Source organism: Homo sapiens, chromosome 2 (genome assembly GCF_000001405.40).
Source record: "Homo sapiens chromosome 2, GRCh38.p14 Primary Assembly".
Classification (NCBI taxonomy): domain Eukaryota; kingdom Metazoa; phylum Chordata; class Mammalia; order Primates; family Hominidae; genus Homo; species Homo sapiens.
Genome location: NC_000002.12, coordinates 43,818,777 through 43,839,237, shown reverse-complemented (window position 1 = coordinate 43,839,237; position 20,461 = coordinate 43,818,777). Strand labels below are relative to the sequence as shown.

The 20,461-nt window shown below is 47.0% G+C and overlaps 3 protein-coding genes across 16 annotated transcripts in view; 1 reads left to right on the top strand and 2 right to left on the bottom strand.

The window, feature by feature from the left end:
- The window catches only part of ABCG8 (ATP binding cassette subfamily G member 8), a 44,018-nt gene extending 43,751 nt beyond the window's left edge, over positions 1–267 (bottom strand). For both annotated transcript variants that reach the window (NM_022437.3, NM_001357321.2), the window contains exon 1: positions 122–267. In NM_022437.3, coding sequence (NP_071882.1) covers positions 122–184 — 63 coding nt within the window. In that variant the 5' untranslated portion in view covers positions 185–267. The remainder of the gene's footprint in view (positions 1–121) is intronic.
- ABCG5 (ATP binding cassette subfamily G member 5) overlaps positions 7–20,461 on the top strand; it is a 33,021-nt gene continuing 12,566 nt past the window's right edge. For 3 of the 12 annotated variants that reach the window (XM_006712073.4, XM_005264480.5, NM_022436.3), the window contains exons 1-11: positions 399–701; positions 1,283–1,404; positions 7,155–7,291; positions 7,371–7,469; positions 11,123–11,255; positions 12,717–12,856; positions 14,220–14,349; positions 14,806–15,019; positions 15,120–15,325; positions 16,303–16,441; positions 19,138–19,323. In XM_006712073.4, coding sequence (XP_006712136.1) covers positions 559–701; positions 1,283–1,404; positions 7,155–7,291; positions 7,371–7,469; positions 11,123–11,255; positions 12,717–12,856; positions 14,220–14,349; positions 14,806–15,019; positions 15,120–15,325; positions 16,303–16,441; positions 19,138–19,323 — 1,649 coding nt within the window. In that variant the 5' untranslated portion in view covers positions 399–558. The other 9 variants (XM_047445410.1, XM_047445411.1, XM_047445409.1 and 6 more) reach the window with 8 other exon arrangements.
- The window catches only part of DYNC2LI1 (dynein cytoplasmic 2 light intermediate chain 1), a 54,309-nt gene continuing 44,738 nt past the window's right edge, over positions 10,891–20,461 (bottom strand). For both annotated transcript variants that reach the window (NM_001348913.2, NM_001348912.2), the window contains exon 14: positions 10,891–11,852. The gene's annotated coding sequence lies outside the window, so the exon portion shown is untranslated. The remainder of the gene's footprint in view (positions 11,853–20,461) is intronic.

Here is a 20,461-nt window from a genome sequence, read left to right as displayed (position 1 = left end):
GTCCTCACACTGCTTGATGTCCGGGTGGTGCTAGGACAGAAGGCTCCTGAGGGAAGAGAGAAAGGTTTGATTTCTCCTACCCGCCCACCAGGCCTGGGCCGACTTCCCATTGCTCACTCACCGAGGTATCCTGGGGAGTGGCCCCTTTCGGCAGCCCTCTCTCCTCTGCCGCCTTCCCGGCCATGGGGCCCACAGGTCTGTGACCCTGGGCTGCAGCTCTCTTAGACCCAGCTGCTGCCTGCCAGGGCCAGTGTCTTCACTCTGTTTCCTGGAGCAGGGACACCTCGGCCTCCTGCCCTGGGCCCGTCTCTCCCAGCATTCCTTGCTGGCAAGCCCACCTACAAACGTGTGTGTTCTGCCCACTGTCAAGATAAGGACGCGCTGGCTAAAGGTACATCAGATAATGGTCTCCGTGGCCAAGTCCCAGTCCTGCTGTCCCAAGGGACTCCGGGGTCAGGTGGAGCAGGCAGGGCAGTCTGCCACGGGCTCCCCAACTGAAGCCACTCTGGGGAGGGTCCGGCCACCAGAAAATTTGCCCAGCTTTGCTGCCTGTTGGCCATGGGTGACCTCTCATCTTTGACCCCCGGAGGGTCCATGGGTCTCCAAGTAAACAGAGGCTCCCAGAGCTCCCTGGAGGGGGCTCCTGCCACCGCCCCGGAGCCTCACAGCCTGGGCATCCTCCATGCCTCCTACAGCGTCAGGTAAGGCAGAGCCCTTGCTGCTGCTGCTCCCCCAGGAGTGCGGGGCCCGGCGCTCACCCCTCTGCTGCCTTTCTTCACTCTTTAAGTGCCAGTCTGGGCACTTCGGGCTCCCTCTTTAGTGGATCGGGTGGAGAGAGGAGAGGGAGAAGGGCTGTGCTGGGAAACATGGAGCGACAGTGAATGGCCCCTCCCCCTGCCCAGGGAAGGGCCTGGGCATAAACAAAGTGGCAGCAGTGCCCTGCCAACCCAGTGTCTACGGCCTGCCCTCTGTGGATGGGAATGGGGGTACTGCGAATGCAAGGAGTCTTGAAACCTGGTGAAAGAATGCAGGGACAGCCACCTCGCAGCCAAACGGACAGGACATTCAGAGCAACTCCAGCACAGGCCCCCTCCCTACGTGGCAGACAGCCTCAGTCGCTATCTGCCAGGTTCTACAGAGGAGGGCGCAGAGACTGAAACACGTTAGGAGCCTGTCCGGAGACTACTGGGGTGGGGCACAGGTAGGATCAATGCTGGGGACCTGGGTGTGGCCCCTTCCAGGGCCCCAAGCTGCCTTTGCCTTCCTGGGGTTTCCTTTAAAGCCACCGCGTGAGGCCCTGGTGGGACATCACATCTTGCCGGCAGCAGTGGACCAGGCAGATCCTCAAAGATGTCTCCTTGTACGTGGAGAGCGGGCAGATCATGTGCATCCTAGGAAGCTCAGGTAAGCTTGGGAAGGAGGATTCTAAAAAGGATTTGGCTTGAGTTAAACTCCACATTGAAGAAACAGATTAAGTTGTAACAAGAAAGCCACAGGTTTGATATTAGAATGAATTCTATTGATATCTGACTGTGAATGGAACTGCTACCAATGTGAAATCTTTAGAAAGATCCTTGAAAGAGTATAAAATTCTGCCTAACATGTACGTGAATTCATATTTCAAAATATAAAAAGCCCCCACAGTTCCATGGCATATAAAAGTACTCAGGAAACACAATTTCCCCTATCTGTACACTGCCTAGAGACAGGAAAAGGATTAAATAAGCACAAAAATGCCCATTAAGCCCCTATCTTTGATTCCAGTGGTGCTTTTTTATGATGGTATATTTTGGACATACAATCAAGAATAGAGAATAGGCTGGTCACAGTGGCTTATGACTGTAATCCCAGCAGCTTGAGAGGCTGAGGTGAGAGGATTGCTTGAGCCCAGGAGTTCGAGAGCAACCTAAGCAACATAGTGGGACCCCATCTCTACAAAAACATACAAAAGTTAGCCAGGCATGGTGGTGCATGTCTGCGGTCCCAGCTACTTGGGAGGCTGAGGTGGGAGGATTGCTTGAGCCCAGGAGATTAAGACTTCAGTGAGCTGAGATAGTGCCACTGCACTCTAGCCTGGGCAACAGAGCAAGACCCTGTCTCAAAAAAAAAAAAAAAAAGACTGGAGAATAATATTTAAAAGTTCATGTATTAACATCGGGCCTTATCAGATCTTATCTGGTCGTTTTTCTTTTCTTTTTTTTTCTTTTTTGAGACAGAGTCTCACTCTGTCACTTAGGCTGGAGTGCAGTGGTGCGATCTTGGCTCACTGCATCCTTAACCTCCTGAGCTCAAGTGATCCTCCCACCTCAGCTGGGACTACAGGTGCACACCACCATGTCCGGCTAATTTATTTTTATTTTTATCTTTTTTTGTAGAGACAGCGTTCTTGCTATGTTTCCCAGACTCTTTTTCTTTTTTAAGGAATTAAACATTACAAATTGCACTGAGGTCATCCACTGCCCGTTCTCCACATCATCCTTCTCCTCCTCTTTCCCAGGGTAGCTGCATTTGAGCCTACAGTCGGTGTTTGTGCCCCTGCATCAGCCAGTCATTGCCCCAGAGAGTCTAGCCTTTGGTGAGACAGCTCCTTGTGGCCGAGGGCAATTCCCTGGGAGGGTCCCTGTGGTGAATCTTCTGCAGCTGACGTTCTCAGCAGCTGGGGGATGGCTGCATTGGCCCTGAAGAGGGGTTCTGTGTGGCACACCACAGTGTCTGCTACACTGGATTACCATCTACATTTTAAGGTTAAAAGCTTCTGACAAATTGGCTCCACAGAAGCCTCTTGATTGAGCTATTGCTTGCAAATTGTTGACATTCACTGCCACTCTCTACTTGTGTTATTCTCTTCAATGGAGATGGGGACTCCATTGAAGTCTATGACCAAATGTAGGCATGGTCAGCCTCCTTAGACTCAGGGAATTGAATCCATGGCTATTCACCTGCTACAGCAGGTGCACAACCAGATGCCAACAGTAGTGTTGTTAAGAGGAATTCCCAGGCCGGGCACGGTGGCTCATGCTTGTAATCCCAGCACTTTGGGAGGCAGAGGCGGGCGGATCACTTGAGGTCAGGAATTCGAGACCAGCCTGGCTAACATGGCAAAACCCGTCTCTACTAAAAATGCAAAAAAAAAATTAGCCAGGCCTGGTGGCAGGTGCCTGTAATCCCAGCTACTCGGGAGGCTGAGGCAGGAGAATCCCTTGAACCTGGGAGGTGGAGGTTGTAGTGAGCCAAGATTGTGCCACTGCACTCTAGCCTGGGCAGCAGTGAGACTCCATCTTAAAAAAAAAAAAGAAGAGGAATTCCCAGACTGTCTCAGTCCACTCAGGCTGCTACAACAAAATACCATAGACTGGGTGGCTTATAAAAAGCAGAAATTTTTTTCTCACAGTTCTAGGGGCTGGGAAGTCCGAGATCAAGGGGGTCAACAGATTCAGTGTCTGGTGAGGGAGACTTCCTCCTAGACAGCCATTTTCTCACCCTAACCTTGCATGGCAGAAGTGGGGAGGGGTCTCTGAGGCATTCATCTGAATTGTAAGAGCTCTCCATAACCTAATCATCTCCCAATATCACCTCCTTGCATGCCCCACCTCGTAATATCATAATCTTGGGTGTGAAGATTTCAACATATGAATTTTAGGGAGACATAAACATTGAGACTATAGCACTGACTAAAGCTGTTACACTTTTCAAAGACTTTGTCAGTTCTTATTTCCATTTTTAACCAACATCTAGCTATACACATGTACCGTAACATCCAGGGTCATTCTCAGCTTCCTTTTGATAAATACAGTGTGCTTCTTTAAAAAGAAAAAAAACTGCCTCTTCTCCTTTAACAAATTTTCACCTGTTGCAGTCCTTATAAAGAAGTAAACAAGGTGGCATTTAGCACCCTTCTCAGAAGTGTGTCCCACTTCTAAGAACAACAAGAAATGGAACCCCCCATCTCAGAAGTGCACCCCAAAGGCCAATGCTCAGAAGTGCACCCCAAAGGCCAATGTTGTGTTTCATGCACATACAGCAGGACAGCAGGAGGGGCTCTTGATTGGGGTGGGGGAGTGGGCTGATTTCTGATGAGATGCCTAATTACGGCTTTGGGACAATGCCTACACTTTATACTGAAATGAATCCACAGTGGGCTGCAAGTTCTACAAGGGCAGGGACTGTATTCTACTGTATCCTTATCACCTAGAACAGGGTCGGTCACGTAGTGGGTGCTTAATAAATATTTGTTGAATAAAGGAGTAAAATAATTTTATGAATTACTCCATAGTATTGCATAAAATGACAATTTCATTGGTGTCTTATCTCAAGCAGTATTATCTATCAAATCTTCATTAGCGAGGCAAAAGATGATGACATATACGTTCAAAGTCTCACTAGAGTATAGTCTAAAGCAAGCCTGCACAGAGCCATCCAACTCCAGGGGAACTCCAACTTATTTGAATTGTTATTTGCTGTTGAGGAGGGCGTAGACTCTGGGTTAGATGCTTCTTTGCAGATTATTTAGTTGCAAATGTCATAGTTTTATCGCCCTTTAGGGCATTAACCTTATGATCCATCCGCCTTGGCCTCCCAAAGTGCTGGGATTACAGGCATGAGCCACCACGCCCAGCCTCTCATATCCTCTTTTGAATGAGCTTTGTCATCTTGCTGGTTCCCTCATTAATGAGTTAACAAATACTTGACACATTTTTTTAAAAAACTAAATTCATTATTATAAAAAAAAAAGTATCCCAAAATTTAGTGGCTTAAAACAACACCATTCATGATCTCTCAGAATGTCTATGGATCAGAACTCTGGAAGTGACTTGGTTGGGTAGTCCTGTCTTGGGATCCCTCCCAGAGAAGTATACACTGGATTTGGCAACAATAAAGTGGCTTTAATATCCCTGGGGAGGCCAGTTTTGATGAAGTGGTGGGGCTGGGACCCAGGCTGCAGGATATTTGCAGCTTCTGCCAGAGTTCAGATTGGATCCAAAAAATGTAAAGCCAGGATGGCTCTGGTTAGAAGAACCACACGACTGGGAAATTACAGGGCACATTTTGAAAGACAATCCCAATGAAGTCACATTTTGTTTCTTTATAATGGGTTTTCCTCTCTTTCCCCACTCTGTCCACCTCCTGAACACGCAGGGGCTATTTCTGAGTTTTGTCAATGATGCATTAGAAAAGAAGACAACTGCTAAGGGAGTTGATTCATCTTTGTACCTCTCACAGCAACAAGCAAGTTTCTTTAAAATATTTCAACAAGGGCCAGGTGCGGTCGCTCACACCTGTAATCCCAGCACCTTGGGAGGCCGAGGCGGGCGGATCACCTGTGGTCAGGAGTTCAAGACCAGCCTGGCCAACGTGGTGAAACCCCGTCTCTACAAAAATACAAAAATTAGCCAGGTGTGGTGGCACACGCCTGTAATTCCAGCTATTCGGGAGACTGAGGCAAGATAATTGTTTGAACCTGGGAGACAGCGGTTGCAGTGAGCTGAGATCTTGCCACTGTACTCCAGCCTGGGCAATAGAGTGAGACTCCATCTCAATAAATAAATAAATAAAGGGCTGGGCCCGGTGGCTCACGCCTGTAATCCCAGCACTTTGGGAGGTTGAGGCGGGCAGATCACGAGGTCAGGAGATTGTGACCATCCTGGCTAATGCAGTGAAACCCCATCTCTACTAAAAATACAAAAAAAATTAGTTGGGCATGGTGGCCGGCGCCTGCAGTCCCAGCTACTCAGGAAGCTGAGGCAGGATAATGGCATGAACCTGGGAGGTGGAGGTTGCAGTGAGCCGAGACTGCGCCACTGCACTCCAGCCTGGGCAACAGAGCGATACTTCGTCTCAATAATAATAATAATAATAATAATAATAATAATAATATTTCAACAAAAGATCTCTTTGGCTCTGCACAAGCCATCTCATCAGTAGATTTCTCTTGCTATCTTCCCAGATAGTTCAGAACTTCCTGCCTATTTCTCTGTTATGAGTCCCAACTTCTCAGCCTCCTTGGATAGGAAAGGCCTGGGAGGTCTATTCTGTCTCCATGAACTCTGGGCCTATGGTAAACTTGTGTCCAATATGACTGAGGGGCCATCAGGTTCTTGTCCTAAAGGCATCACCTAACCTTTAACCTTAGAAAAAAGCAGTGGCTCACGCCTGTAATCCCAGCACTTTGGGAGGCTGAGGCGGGAGGATCACCTGAGGTCAGGAGGTCGAGACCAGCCTGGCCAACATGGTGAAACCTCATCTCTACTAAAAATACGAAAATTAGCCGGGTGTAGTGGTGCATGCCTGTAATCCCAGCTACTCAGGAGGCTGAGGCAGGAGAATGGCTTGAACCTGAGAGGCGGAGGTTGCAGTGTGCTGAGATTGTGCCACTGCACTCCAGCCTGGGTGACAGAGTGACACTCAGTCTCACTCAAGAAAAAAGCAAACCAAGGGAAGCATCATCCCCCAGTCACCTCCAGCAGGCAGTTAGTTCACCACAACCCCTCTGTGGGAACTTCCTAGTGACATCCAGCTAGGCTATGCCCCAGGCTCTAGTGCAGGCTGTGGCCAACTTGGTCTTACCAAAGGACTTACCAAGCCAGTGCTTCTCAAACTCGACTGAAGCAGAGCTGACTCAGCAGGTCTTGGGTGCGGCTTGAGGCTCTGCATTTCTGGCAAGCTCTCAGGGGTTGCTGATGCTGCTTGCTTTGTGAGCAAGGCTCTAGACAATGTCACCTACATCCAGGTACAACCAGACCACCCCAGGGGGGCACAAAAAGAAATCCGTCCTAGGATCCAAACGTTTCCAAGAGTCTTGGCTTTCCTCTTATTCTGATACCTATAAGTATTTTGTTTTTCAATCCAAAACAGTTTTAAAGACAAATAAACAAGCAGAGAAAGCACGTTCGGTCTTGACCCAGATGAGAGAAATGGCATGTCCCCTCTCACTCAGGGGACAATCCAGAGACTCACTTGCGCGTGAGACTGCTGCACGCACAGTGCGCGTTCCATAGGGCAGGGCCTGTATCCTGCTGTGTCCTTAACACCTAGAACAGGGTCCGTCATGTAGCACTCATGGCCCGCGGGGTCATGCCTGCACAGAGGGTCTCGGGAAGCTCCTCCAAGGCCGGCACAGAGTGGTTCCTCTAGGGCCTTCTGTTGTCGCCCCGCAGGCTCCGGGAAAACCACGCTGCTGGACGCCATGTCCGGGAGGCTGGGGCGCGCGGGGACCTTCCTGGGGGAGGTGTATGTGAACGGCCGGGCGCTGCGCCGGGAGCAGTTCCAGGACTGCTTCTCCTACGTCCTGCAGGTGGGCGCGTCCCCCACACCCCTGGCCCCCCCGCCCGCCCCGGGGGCTTAGGCTACACTGACGCCCGAGTCTCCTGCAGAGCGACACCCTGCTGAGCAGCCTCACCGTGCGCGAGACGCTGCACTACACCGCGCTGCTGGCCATCCGCCGCGGCAATCCCGGCTCCTTCCAGAAGAAGGTGGGTGCAGCCCCCCGCTCACAGAGGGCAAACTGAGTACCTTTGCACCCCCCGCTGCCCTCCTCTCTTCGCCTACGCTTGCCCATTCCTTCCCTTTGCTCGTCACTCCTTCACTCTAGAGCGCGCCCTGCGTCCTGCACCGTGCACCCTGTGCTGCCCCTAGTCACATGTGCCTTTGGAGACTTGAAATGTCACTAGTCCAGACTGAAACGTGCTCTGAGCGCAAAATACACATCAAATTTCAGACTCTTAGTCTGAGGAAAACAGAACGTGAAAAAGCCCATTAAGAATTTTTAGGTCGGGCAGGGTGGCTCATACCTGTAATCCCAGCACTTTGGAAGGCCAAGATGGGAGGATTGCTTGAGTCTAGAAGTTTGAGACCAGCCTGGGCAACATAGCGAGACTCAGTCTCTATAAAAAATACAAAAATTAGTTGGACGTGGTGATGTGCGCCTGCACTCCCAGCTGCTAAGGAGGCTGAGGCAGGAGGATCTCTTGAACCCAGGAGGTCGAGGCTGCAGCGAGCCATGATTGCACCATTGCACTCCAGCCTGAAGGACAAAAAGAGACTCTGTCTCTCCCAACCAAATAAATAAATAAATTTCAAAAAGTATTGATTACAGGTTGAAATGGTATTTTTGGCTGTAAATAATATGTTATTAAAATTAATTTCACCTGTTTCTTTTTACTTTTCAAAATTTGGCTACTAAAATTTCACTTCTGTCTGTGGCTTGCATTACCCTTCTCTGGGACCATGCTGTTCTACAAGTTCCCTGTTTGAACAGACATAGTTATTTTTGCCACTGATTTTTCTCAGCTTGCTTGGAGGCATCTTGAATGTGCCTCATCCAAACTGGACTGAGTTAATGAAGGAAGAAATGATTGAATTGTCAACTCCTTCTAGGTTCCAATCTCTTTCTTAATTGTCTCCAGTTTGGAAGTAGCCACAGGTAAACCCACCGGGGACCTTACCTGGAAACTGCTTCATTTCTCTCTAGACTGGGAAGGCCCACAAGCACCCAGGGAACCAATGACAGGTGGACATGCCTCCTTCAAGGGGCACAGCTCCCTGGGAGCAGGAGAACTCCCGATAGCAGAGTTCTCTCCAATTGAGAGTCATTTCTGAGCAAATCCAGCCCACAGCGTGTAAAATCCTGATAAGTAATTCAGTGGGAAGGAAGTGCTGATGATAATAAAGGAGATAGCATGGCAGATCTGCTTCTGTCCTTGGAAGAACCTGGAAATAAAGCAAGGCCAATGTGAGCAGGCTATGTCTGCGGGGCTGTTGGCTAAGGCTCAGGCTTCCTGGACCACTTCAGAGAGCCCAGAGAGTCCTCTCAATCCTGGCCCTGCCATTTGCTAATGGCATTATCTTGGGCAAGTTATGGAACTTTGTTTTCTCCTCTATAAAAAATACAATAAGAATGCATTTCTCCTGGGTTTGATGTGAAGAATACATCAGATTACGTGAAAGCACAGAGCATGGAGGGTTGGACTTGCTCATCCCAATAGTCCTTCCAGGGACTCTGAATTCCATTTCCAAAATTTGTTTCCAAAATGTGGGAGAGCATTCCTGCTGGGGTGTGAAACCTCTGAGACAAATTAAGTAAATGTCTTCTCTGTCCATCTCTTCCAAGCCAGGAGGGGCAAGCTTACTCCTTATGATGTTACAGAGATGAGAAGGAGGCTCGGGAATCTACCCTGGCTGGTCAGCACAGAAATCTCACTGTGTCAAGCAAAGCTTAATTCTAGGATCCTTCTACCCTGATGGCAAGAGAAGAGCTTTCTTTTGTTCCAGAATATATCTATATCTAGTTTATTTATGCATTTTTACCTTCTCATTATTCCTTTGTACCTATTTCAGATATGTCCATTCTTTGGGTGGGTCAAAGCTACATCTATGCCGTCAACCCCACTCCCTGACTCCTCTTGAATGTTGGTCCACAAGTCATTCCCTCTTCTTCTGCAATCTAGCTTATTGTTTTTTAATGCAATGGTTTTGTTTCCATTTTCATAACACGGCCTTATTAGGGGTGTCTGGAAACAAAACTTATTACCATATGAGTATCTTCTGTCTCTTTCTGCTTTCCCCCTGGGGTTTCTGCAGTTAGAGGTAATCAGTACAGGGGGACAGAAACAGATTTGTGAACAGGTCTCTGGAGAGGAGATAAGCTGAGGAAGGAAAGACAGTGAGGGAGGAAAAAAGCCAAGCTTCTTGATTAGAAATTCAGTAAAGAATTTTTTTTAGTCGTTATTGTTTTGGGAGAGTTGAGAATGAGGAGGAAAAACGGTTTCAGGGAGTTACAGGCTTTAAGTACAGCGAAGAGAATTGGAAGAAAGGGAATTTTAAATGTGGCTGGGGGTTATAAATTGGGTCCCCATTAAAGTCCTTAAAGAAATTCAAGTAAAGATTGGAATTATTTTTAATTACTTCTGAAGGCTGGATTATATGTCTTTGATGTGGACTCACACTGAGATTGTACCACATGGGACCCCAGCACTTATTTGGGTTATACAGTGGGAAACAGGTTTAGTTCAAATCAGGTTGGATTTTTGTAAACACATAAAGCATTTATGATAATAAAATTTCAAAACCCAAACACTTATGAAAGTAAGCGATATTGTAATCATGAATTTGGGGGATTTTTCTGTATGGGCTGCAGTGACTATGGCTCCTGCAAATAGGAGTTTAATGAAGTATCTGTTGTTTCCTGGTTAATTTTCCTGAAGCAAGTGTAAGCAGTTTGTGTTCTAGGGAATCTTATTTTATTTTATTTGTTTATTTATTTATTATTATTTTTTTTGAATCGGAGTCTCGCTCTGTCACCCAGGTTGGAGTGCAGTGGTGCCATCTTGCCTCACTGCAACCTTGGCCTCCCGGGTTCAAGCAATTCTCCTGCCTTAGCCTCCGAGTAGCTGGGATTACCAGTGCCTGCCACCACTCCCAGCTCATTTCTGTATTTTTAGAACAGACAGGGTTTCACCGTGTTGGCTAGGCTAGTCTCGAACTCCTGACCTCAAGTGATCCACCCACCTCGACCTCCCAAAGTGCTGGGATTACAGGCATAAGCCGCCATGCCAGGCCCATTTTATTTTATTTTATTTTAGAGACAGGGTCTTGCTCTGTCACCTAGGCTGGAGTGCAGTGGTGCCATCATGGCTAACTGTGGTCTCAACGTCCTGGGATCAAGCGATCCTCCTGCCTAAGCATCCTGAGTAGCTGGGACTACAGGCACGTGCCAGCATACCCGGCTAATTTATTGTTTTTTTCTTTCTTTTTTTTTTTTTTTTTTTTTGTAGAGACAGGGTCTCTCTTTGTTGCCCAAGCTGGTCTCAAACTCCTGGCCTCAAGCAATTCTCCCTCCTCAGCCTTCCAAAGTATTGGGATTACAGGCATGAGCCACTGCACCCAGCCTCTGGGGACGTTTTAAAAAATTCATATTATTTATTTAAATCTGACACATGTATTACGATTTAAGCCGAATTGGATCATATTATTATCAAAGACATGCTTTCCCCAGGGTGTGGTGAGTCTGGAAGTGGCCCTTGGATTCTTGGGCGGTGTGCTGCCTCTTTCATGTCCTCCCCAGCCCATGAATTGAAATAGCAGCCACAGAGACTCCCAGCCTTCCTGTAATTTGTGTCTCCTGCAGGTGGAGGCCGTCATGGCAGAGCTGAGTCTGAGCCATGTGGCAGACCGACTGATTGGCAACTACAGCTTGGGGGGCATTTCCACGGGTGAGCGGCGCCGGGTCTCCATCGCAGCCCAGCTGCTCCAGGATCCTAGTAAGTGGCACCCAGAACTGTTACTAGCTGCTGTCTGGGCATCTTCTGTGTGTGTGCAGATACTTTGGGCCCTTTCTTCACGGTCCTCATTTGGAAAGGGGTTTGTGTACAACTGAAATCACAGGTTTTTCAAACTGAGGACCCAGTTTTTTTGGAAATGCTGTACAGTTCATTTCCTGATGCGATTCCATCATCCAAACAAAACAGCTCCTGGACCCGGAAGCGTTGCATTGGTGTTGAAGTGTTCCATTGGGGTTTTCCTTGAATATGGAGCCTTGCCCTGCCAATCATTTCTTCTCACCAGGGCAATACCACTGTGTGGGCTGGGGAAAGCCAATGAGTTTTGATATGACCACAGGTGTTCATGAAATGGCAGGAATTAAAATAGGAATTTGAATGATAAACTCAAAAGTGTATATGTTGTGGGGAAGGGAGTATCAAAACAGAGTAGTCAGTCCTCTGCCAGGTTTGGTCATTTTCCCCATCACCTGGGGAAACCTCGCCACTCATGCAGCTGGAGAGGACAAACTGCATCTGGATCCTTTCTTTGCACTGTGGTAGACCAGGACGGCCTGTTCTTCAAATGGTGCTTGGTCACTAGAAGGCAAATAAGAGAGATGTTTTTAACAGCTCTTGTCACTTTTTTTTTTTTTTTTTGAGACAGAGTTTCGCTCTTGTTGCCCAGGCTGGAGTGCAGTGGTGCGATCTTGGCTCACTGCAACCTCCACCTCCCAGGTTGAAGCGATTCTCCTGCCTCAGCCTCCTGAGTAGCTGGGATTACAGGCGCCTGCCACCACACCCGGCTAATTTTTGTTCTTTTAGTAGAGACAGGGTTTCACCATGTTGGCCAGGGTGGTCTCGAACTCCTGACCTCAGGTGATCTGCCTGCCTTGACCTCCCAAAGTGTTGGCATTACAGGCGTGAGCCACCGCGCCCGGCCCCCTTGTCACTTTTTAGGAAGAAATAAGTTACTTTAAACCCTCTAAAGAACCCAAATGCCTGCCACACTTCAGGCCTTGTTTTATTCGTCAGATTTTTTTCTTTTCTGTGCAAAGACCCTGCTGGTGTTGGAAAGTGTTACAGACATGAAATGGGGTTGTCTTTTTGACCAGCCTTCTCTCAGTCTTGTTTTAAAACAACTTGATGCCAGCCTGCCAGCCCTTGTTCCCTGACAGGGTGCCCTGAGCAGAGCCCAGATGGCCCGTAAGAGGCCTGATCTCCTTACTCCCTGTGCCCTGGAGGATTTGAGCCCACATGTGCTCCAGAGCTGGGAACTAGGCCCTTCCACATCAGGTCCTTTCTCCTGAGCTCAGGCTGAAAGCCAGTTTACATGTTTACTTCCCACCGCACACTGTTTGAATGGGGTACAAACTCAATAAGGAACAGTTCAGAACTCTGAGTTTTAAGCACAGAGCCTGGGCTCTGCACTACCTTAGAAGTCTGGCCCTTCTTTGCTGGCAGAGGTCATGCTGTTTGATGAGCCAACCACAGGCCTGGACTGCATGACTGCTAATCAGATTGTCGTCCTCCTGGTGGAACTGGCTCGCAGGAACCGAATTGTGGTTCTCACCATTCACCAGCCCCGTTCTGAGCTTTTTCAGGTAAGAGGTTCAACTCGTAAAGGCCGGGTCTATGGTGTGTTGAGCTGGGAATCACAGGGGCAGGGGCAAGATTTGTACCAGTGGCCAGGCACAGTGGCTCACACTTGTAATTCCAGCACTTTGGGAGGCTGAGGCAGGAGGAGCACTTGAGGCCAGGAGTTTGAGTCCATCCTGAGCAATAAAGTGAGACTCCCCATCTCTAAAAAAAAAAAAAAGAAAGAAAGAAAGAAAAAGAAAAATTAGCCAGGCATGGTGGTGCATATCTGTGGTCCCAGCTACTTGGAAGGCTGAGGTGAGAGGATCGCTTGAGCCCAGTAGGTCAAGGCTGCAGGGAGTCGTGATCATGCCATTGCACTCTAGCCTGGGTGACAGAGGAAGACCTCATCTCAAACAAACAAACAAAAAACCGTTAGTGCTAGAGAATTGGAGCCAACAGCTCCTGAGAGGGGAAGAGCAAAGGATGAAAACTCACTTCTTTCAGCACCTACCATGTTCCAAATACTTTCTGTACATAGCTCATTTCATCTGCACAACACTCCTATGAGGTGTGTTTCAGTGTATTCACCTTACAGAGGAAAAGAGTGAAACTTAGCAATGATTCAAAATTGATAGTTGGGCGTGGTGGTGTGCGCCTGTAATCCCAGCTATTCGGGAAGCTGAGGCAGGAGAATCGCTTGAACCCAGGAGGTTGCAGAGAGCTGGGATTGTGCCACTGCACTCCAGCCTGGGTGACAGAGTGAGATTCGGTCTCAGAAACAACAACAACAACAACAATAACAACAAAACAACAACAAATTAAGCCAAGATCACACAGTTGTTAATAGTAAAAAGCTAGCATTAGCCTTTCACAGCCAAGTTGGCTTCAAAGGCTGTGTTTTTCCACGAAATCATACTGATTTCCTTCCAAAAAAACTCACTTTCTCCGCCCAGTATCCCTTTAGTTAGCTATTATTTGCTTTTTACAGAGGAGGAGCTGAGATTTAAAATGAAAACAAAAAAACAAACTAAGACCCACCCCTGCTCGCCCGAGGTCACTCACTTGGCTTGGCTGGGACTTACGCCCAGGTCCAGTCATGCTTGTCTATCCCAGATATGAAGCTGGGCGTCAGGATGGGAGGCAGCATGACCCACAGTGGTAGCCTAGGCTCACAAGGGTAGGGATGCATTTCGAATGTCTCCAAGAATACTGATGCAGGGCCAAGGTCATCGAAGGACTGACTGCTTATGGGAAATGCATTTCCCATAAGGACTTGGTGACCATAAGGAATACCTGACCTTGGCCCTGCATCAGTGTTCCCAGAGACATTCAAAGTGCATCGCTACCCTTGTGATCACACACTAACTACGTCTGTTGTCTGGTCAGCTCTTTGACAAAATTGCCATCCTGAGCTTCGGAGAGCTGATTTTCTGTGGCACGCCAGCGGAAATGCTTGATTTCTTCAATGACTGCGGTTACCCTTGTCCTGAACATTCAAACCCTTTTGACTTCTATAGTAAGTTTTTCTTTCACATTCCCCATCATGAATGTTTTTTAAACTTTCTCATCTCAGACTTCTGCCTGGATGACACCAGTCTAGTGGATTTGATTTTTGCTTTTGTTTTTGTGTTTTATACTCTTCAAGGAATCAATTTGGCCGGGTCAATGAACTTGCCAGAGATGACTATCAGAATGAGGTCAGGGATCTCTCTCAAACAAACTGGCGCACTGCTACTACTTTATCAGAGCATAATTAGCTGAGCTTCTGAATTCTCCCAGACAATCCCAATGGGATCCTCAAGGCCCTGCTGGGATGCTTTAAAGTATTCTGATTTTATAGGTGGGCATTAACCACAAATTTTATCTTGATGGGATGAGGTATTATGGCCAGTACTCCTGTACCAATTGTATATCCATGTACATACATGCATTTAAAAACACATGGGTGACATCTTTTGGGAAAAACTTTTAGTGGACCTGACGTCAGTGGATACCCAAAGCAAGGAACGGGAAATAGAAACCTCCAAGAGAGTCCAGATGATAGAATCTGCCTACAAGAAATCAGCAATTTGTCATAAAACTTTGAAGAATATTGAAAGAATGAAACACCTGAAAACGTTACCAATGGTTCCTTTCAAAACCAAAGATTCTCCTGGAGTTTTCTCTAAACTGGGTGTTCTCCTGAGGTAAGAGGCTCACAAATGTGAGAAATGCCTGTTAGAGGTCTTTAGCCATCCCCCAATAACAATTCTGAAAAGGAATTAAAACAGGGTTGTTTGTTTTCAGGAGAGTGACAAGAAACTTGGTGAGAAATAAGCTGGCAGTGATTACGCGTCTCCTTCAGAATCTGATCATGGGTTTGTTCCTCCTTTTCTTCGTTCTGCGGGTCCGAAGCAATGTGCTAAAGGGTGCTATCCAGGACCGCGTAGGTCTCCTTTACCAGTTTGTGGGCGCCACCCCGTACACAGGCATGCTGAACGCTGTGAATCTGTGTAAGTGCCCACGTGCTGGAGGTGCACCTCTTTCTCCCTAAATACCTCCCTTCTCCAGCTGTAACCTTACAAAAGTCTACCATTATAAGGGTTTTTCTCTGAGCTAAACCCAGCCCTCTCCAGGTTCCCTCTCTGGGGAAAGGCAACTATTGAGTTACCAACACGTTAATATGAATGAGCTCACCAGGTGGATCTCTCTGAGGGCTAAGGATCCAGGGAAACATGAAGTGACAATGTACTGGTGGGGAGAGTTTGAGGAGTTTTTCAAAAGATCATTCCTCCTATCTCATCTTGGCCATCTCAGATGCACAGCCCATGGGGTGCTCAGCGACCAGGCCAACTTTGTACCGTTAGCTTCTCTTTGGAGCTGATTTTAGGACAGCCAGCACCTAATTTTCAAATTCAGTGGAATTCCAGAGACAAAACCTGGTTGCCTAACGTTGCAGGAAGCAGGTGTTAGAGGGATTCCCCAAAGGCAACACTGTTAGGGAATAAGAGGGAAGGACTTCGCTATTGTGAAGTTGCTCTAGAGCTTGACATGAGGGGCAATGCTAAGTGTCTGCATCTGTGGGGTTTGCCTGGCCTTCCGAGAGCAAGTCTAAAATGCAGGCTGCTGGTGGTGGGGGCGGGGTGGGGTGGGGGGAATCCTGCACAGAAAGAAGACAAAGTGCTTCAAATCACTTATTCATGCCCCTTTTGCATGTACTTTTCGTGAATTGGTGACAACTCCCCACTTTAGAGAGAAGGAAATAAATGACATCTTTTGCAATTGTATTGCAATTCTGGTAGAGTGTAGATTTCCGGGGTGGGGATTTATTGTCCTGTGGATGGCAGGTCCCCTCCTTCTATGACTAGGGAACCCCCCTAGCTGGTCCTCACCATCCAGCCCTGACAGACCTCACATTCAGCTTGGGCTAGCCCTCCCTTTTTCAGCTGGGTGGTGACTGACTGTTCTGAAACCTGCCTTCCATCCCCAGTTCCCGTGCTGCGAGCTGTCAGCGACCAGGAGAGTCAGGACGGCCTCTACCAGAAGTGGCAGATGATGCTGGCCTATGCACTGCACGTCCTCCCCTTCAGCGTTGTTGCCACCATGATTTTCAGCAGTGTGTGCTACTGGTGAGGGGTTGTTCAGTTCACCCAGGGCCGGGCTCCCATGGAGTCATGGAGCTAGTGGGACTCGTGCAGGGAGAGCTCCAGGGTGAAGTTCTCTGCTCTGGAGGATCTACACTTTGCCCATCAGTGTCTAGTGCAATGTCGTATCTTCCAGGACATTAATTTTATTGTAAATAGCCCAACTGTGGGTTGCAGGAGACCTGAGAACAAACCAACAAGATGACATGTGCCTGGGAATGACCTGTCCCACATTCACGGCAGGGCCTGGGCCAGAGAAGAGAGGACTCTGAAGTAGCTAGGACCCAGGTGCATGGGGGGGGGCCTGGGGGAGGGGAGAAAGCAGCCTGAATGTAAAACCTTAAAACAGACACATTCAGAGGGTGGGAAGAGGACAGCAACCAACAGAGGAGGCAGAGGGTGATCAGGGAGGTAGAAAGAGAAGCAGGATTGGGCAGCATCAGAGAGGATGAGGAAGGAGAGAGTTTCAAGGAAGTGTCATAAACACTTCAATATTGCAGGGGTTAAAGGAGGTGAAGCATAAAGGGAGAAGGCCATTGCAATTTCCCAAAAAAGAGCTTCGGTAGAGTCATGGGGGTGCAAGTCAGGTTTACAAGAAGGGAAGGTGTAAGATGGAGGAAGCAGATTCTGTTTTGAGAAACTTGGTGTTACAGGGTAGGATGAAGAGGGGCAGTTACTTAAATGATGATCAAGTTCAAAAAATGGTTATTTTAGGATGTGGTAAATAAGACCATCAAAAAACATCAGATTGAGAGTAGATGAAAATGCAGCCAAAATTTGGATAAGTCAAAGAGGAAGTTCCCAGAGTAGACCAAGGTAGGGATAGGGGAATCAGAATAACATGGGATCAAGGATGCAAGCAGCTAGGGTCACACTTTCAAAGATGGGGTGCGGGAAGAGAGGGGGAGAGAGAGAGAATGAAAAATAGAGATGATGAAGATATCAAGAAATTCATAAAATGGGAGGTGAATTCAGCTGCTGAGCACTGGGGAGAGAGATTGAAATTGGGAAGGGGGAAATTTTAAAGTAGAGGTTTATATCAGTCATCATGGGACATGCTATTAGAATTCAAGACACAACAAGGAAATCTTAGGGGTCCAGGGGCCAGCTGAGGCAAAGTGGCAGAGGGGATCCAGTTAGTGCGGCAATAGGCATTGTCCAGCACACCTTCCATTGCTTAAGGGAGAATAGGGTCCCCAGATGTGGGAACTGATAAGGCAAAGAATGGCAGAAGGGGTCCAGCATCTGCGGCAGTGAGGGCACTGGGGAAGTGAGAGGCAGGAGGCTGTGCTCAGAGAGGGTGTCCTCAGACTCTGAAATCCTGGGAGCGAAACCATTTTGAGTAATATTTAAGTCCAAGACATGGTGAGTGATGCAGATTAGGTAGCTGGAGCCATTGGAATTGAGATTCGCTAATTAGGAACCACTGATGTGGATGGCTCATCAAGAAGGTTAAAGAGCTTGAGGAAAATGATAGGGGAGAGGAGCAAAAAGAATGACTCTGGTCCAGATGCTATAAAATCATCAAAGGCAAGAGGATGTTTTAAACATCACAGAAGACAACAATGAGGAACGGCATTGATAGCATAAGCAAACTTCATGATTTGTACAGAGGAAAAGTAGATGGCCTTGAAGAGTAAGTGGTAAGGAGGGGCGAGTATAAGACATGCCAACATTTTTTGCTTACTCTACAAATGGGATAAAGAGCAGCCATGCCTAATGGTCATTGAAGATACGCTATCACCAGGGAAATGTAATTTGGAGAAAGGAATATAAGAGGAAAGGTGCATGGATATAGGGTGGTTTGTTTACAAGAAAATGAAGGTCAGGCCAGGCATGGTAGCTCATGCCTGTAATCCTAGCACTTTGGGAGGCTGAGATGGGCAGATCACTTGAGGCCAGGAGTTCAAGACCAGCCTGGCCAATATGGCAAAACCCCATCTCTACTAAATACAAAAAAATTAGCTGGGTGTGGTGGTGCGCACCTGTAATCCCAGCTACTTGGGAGGCTGAGGCAGGAGAATCACTGGAACCTGGGAAGCAGAGGTTGCAATGAGCCAAGATCACGCCACTGCACTCCAGTCTGATCAACAGAGTGCAACTCCGTCTCAAAAAAGAAAACGAAGGTCAAATCAGTGGAAGGGGTTGGTAGAATAAAAGACAAGAATGGAATGGAGTAGGGCTGGGGAGGGCTAACCTGATCGAGGACAAAAGAAGTGAGGGATTTTCACGTAGGCAATAATCCCATATAACAGAGATGAGGTTCAGGGAAGGGGGTGCTGGGAAGCGGGTTGGGTGAGCCCTTTAACATTAGGTAGGTGTGGTGTTGGCTAGGCAGAACATGGTTATTTATGAAGATGCCTGTAGAGTTCAACAAGCCTGCTTACTGCGGTTAGTTGTGACCATTGTCTAAGTAATTTAATGTTTTCCTATGAGAGCTGAAGGAGCCGTGAAAGGGAAAAGGTGGCTCCCAATGAGTTGCAGCCAATGGGAACAATTTGATATAATAAATAGTCTCATGTTGACTCCTTTCCAAAACGGCCTTTCAAAGGGGAGTGTGGCTTGCCCTGCAAACTTCTCCCACCCACTCACCACAAAGGATTTATTCACAGAGGCAAGTGCAGTATTTTTCTTAAATGATAGCCCTTGGAGAGGAAACTAAAGAGCTTATGCTTTTCTAGGACGCTGGGCTTACATCCTGAGGTTGCCCGATTTGGATATTTTTCTGCTGCTCTCTTGGCCCCCCACTTAATTGGTGAATTTCTAACTCTTGTGCTACTTGGTATCGTCCAAAATCCAAATATAGTCAACAGTGTAGTGGCTCTGCTGTCCATTGCGGGGGTGCTTGTTGGATCTGGATTCCTCAGGTAAGATATCATAATTCAAAAAATTTAGATTGGGATAATCTGTTATTAATGATCACCTAATAATGACTGAAGTAAAGGAATACCAGAGAACTGATAGTGGTTATGGATATTACCTTATAGTCTAGAGCATTTATACTGCTCGTTAATCATTGCCTTAGACCTTGAACTGTTCATTTGTTCAATAAAATGTCTTTTTTATCGGGAATCAGGAACTAACAAGTTTATGTTATGATATGATTCACATGTAATAAACCATTATACCAAGAGAAGAAAACCAGCCCGGATGTTCCAGGAAAAACTCACAGCCCACATGATAGGCTAAATAAATTGCATGCATTAGTTCATTTCTGACCTGGTACTGTTGAGTGTGAACTGCAGTTCTCAATTCCCAGTTATTCTTAGGAATTAAGACTAGTCAGACAAAAAAAAAAAAGCCTGCAGGATAAAAGACTGCTCCAAAGAGTATCAAGGCTTAAAGGATATGCACCAAATGATAGCAGTAATTATCTCTATCTCTAAAATCAATATCAATAGTGATATTGATTTTAATTTTTTTCTTCATATTTCTGTATTTTATCAATGTTCTGTAATGGACAAGTATCATTTTATAACCAGGAAAAAATGTATCCACACACATTTTTAAAAAGCAGCAGCAAAAAGGGCAGAAAATTTTAAAAGGCTAAAAATGATCCCAGGCAGGTGGTGTGAGTGGGATCTAGTAAGTAATCTCTGGGTCCCCAAGGAAACATGAAGGCTGTTTCTTTGACTTAAAAATGTAAAAATCAAGTCAAAAAGCAAAAGCATTACTGAGCATCTACTATATAAAAGTATATGTGTGTGTTTAATTATTTAACTCTCAGAGCAATCCATTTTCAGATAAGAAAATGAAGCTCAGACTTGACTTTGCTCAAGTCACACCACTATGAAGGCTGTGACGCACGTGACTTCGTGGAGAGAGGCTGACCTATGAGTCAGAAACTTCCTCTACCACTTGCCAGTCTCTTTTCTATCTAAATTAGTTTCCTCATTTATAAAAAAGAGATCACTATTTCAGCCCCACCTGCCTCAAGGGATCATGAGAAGGAACGGAAATAATCAATATGAAAACACATTATAAATTGCAGTGAGTTATACGAAG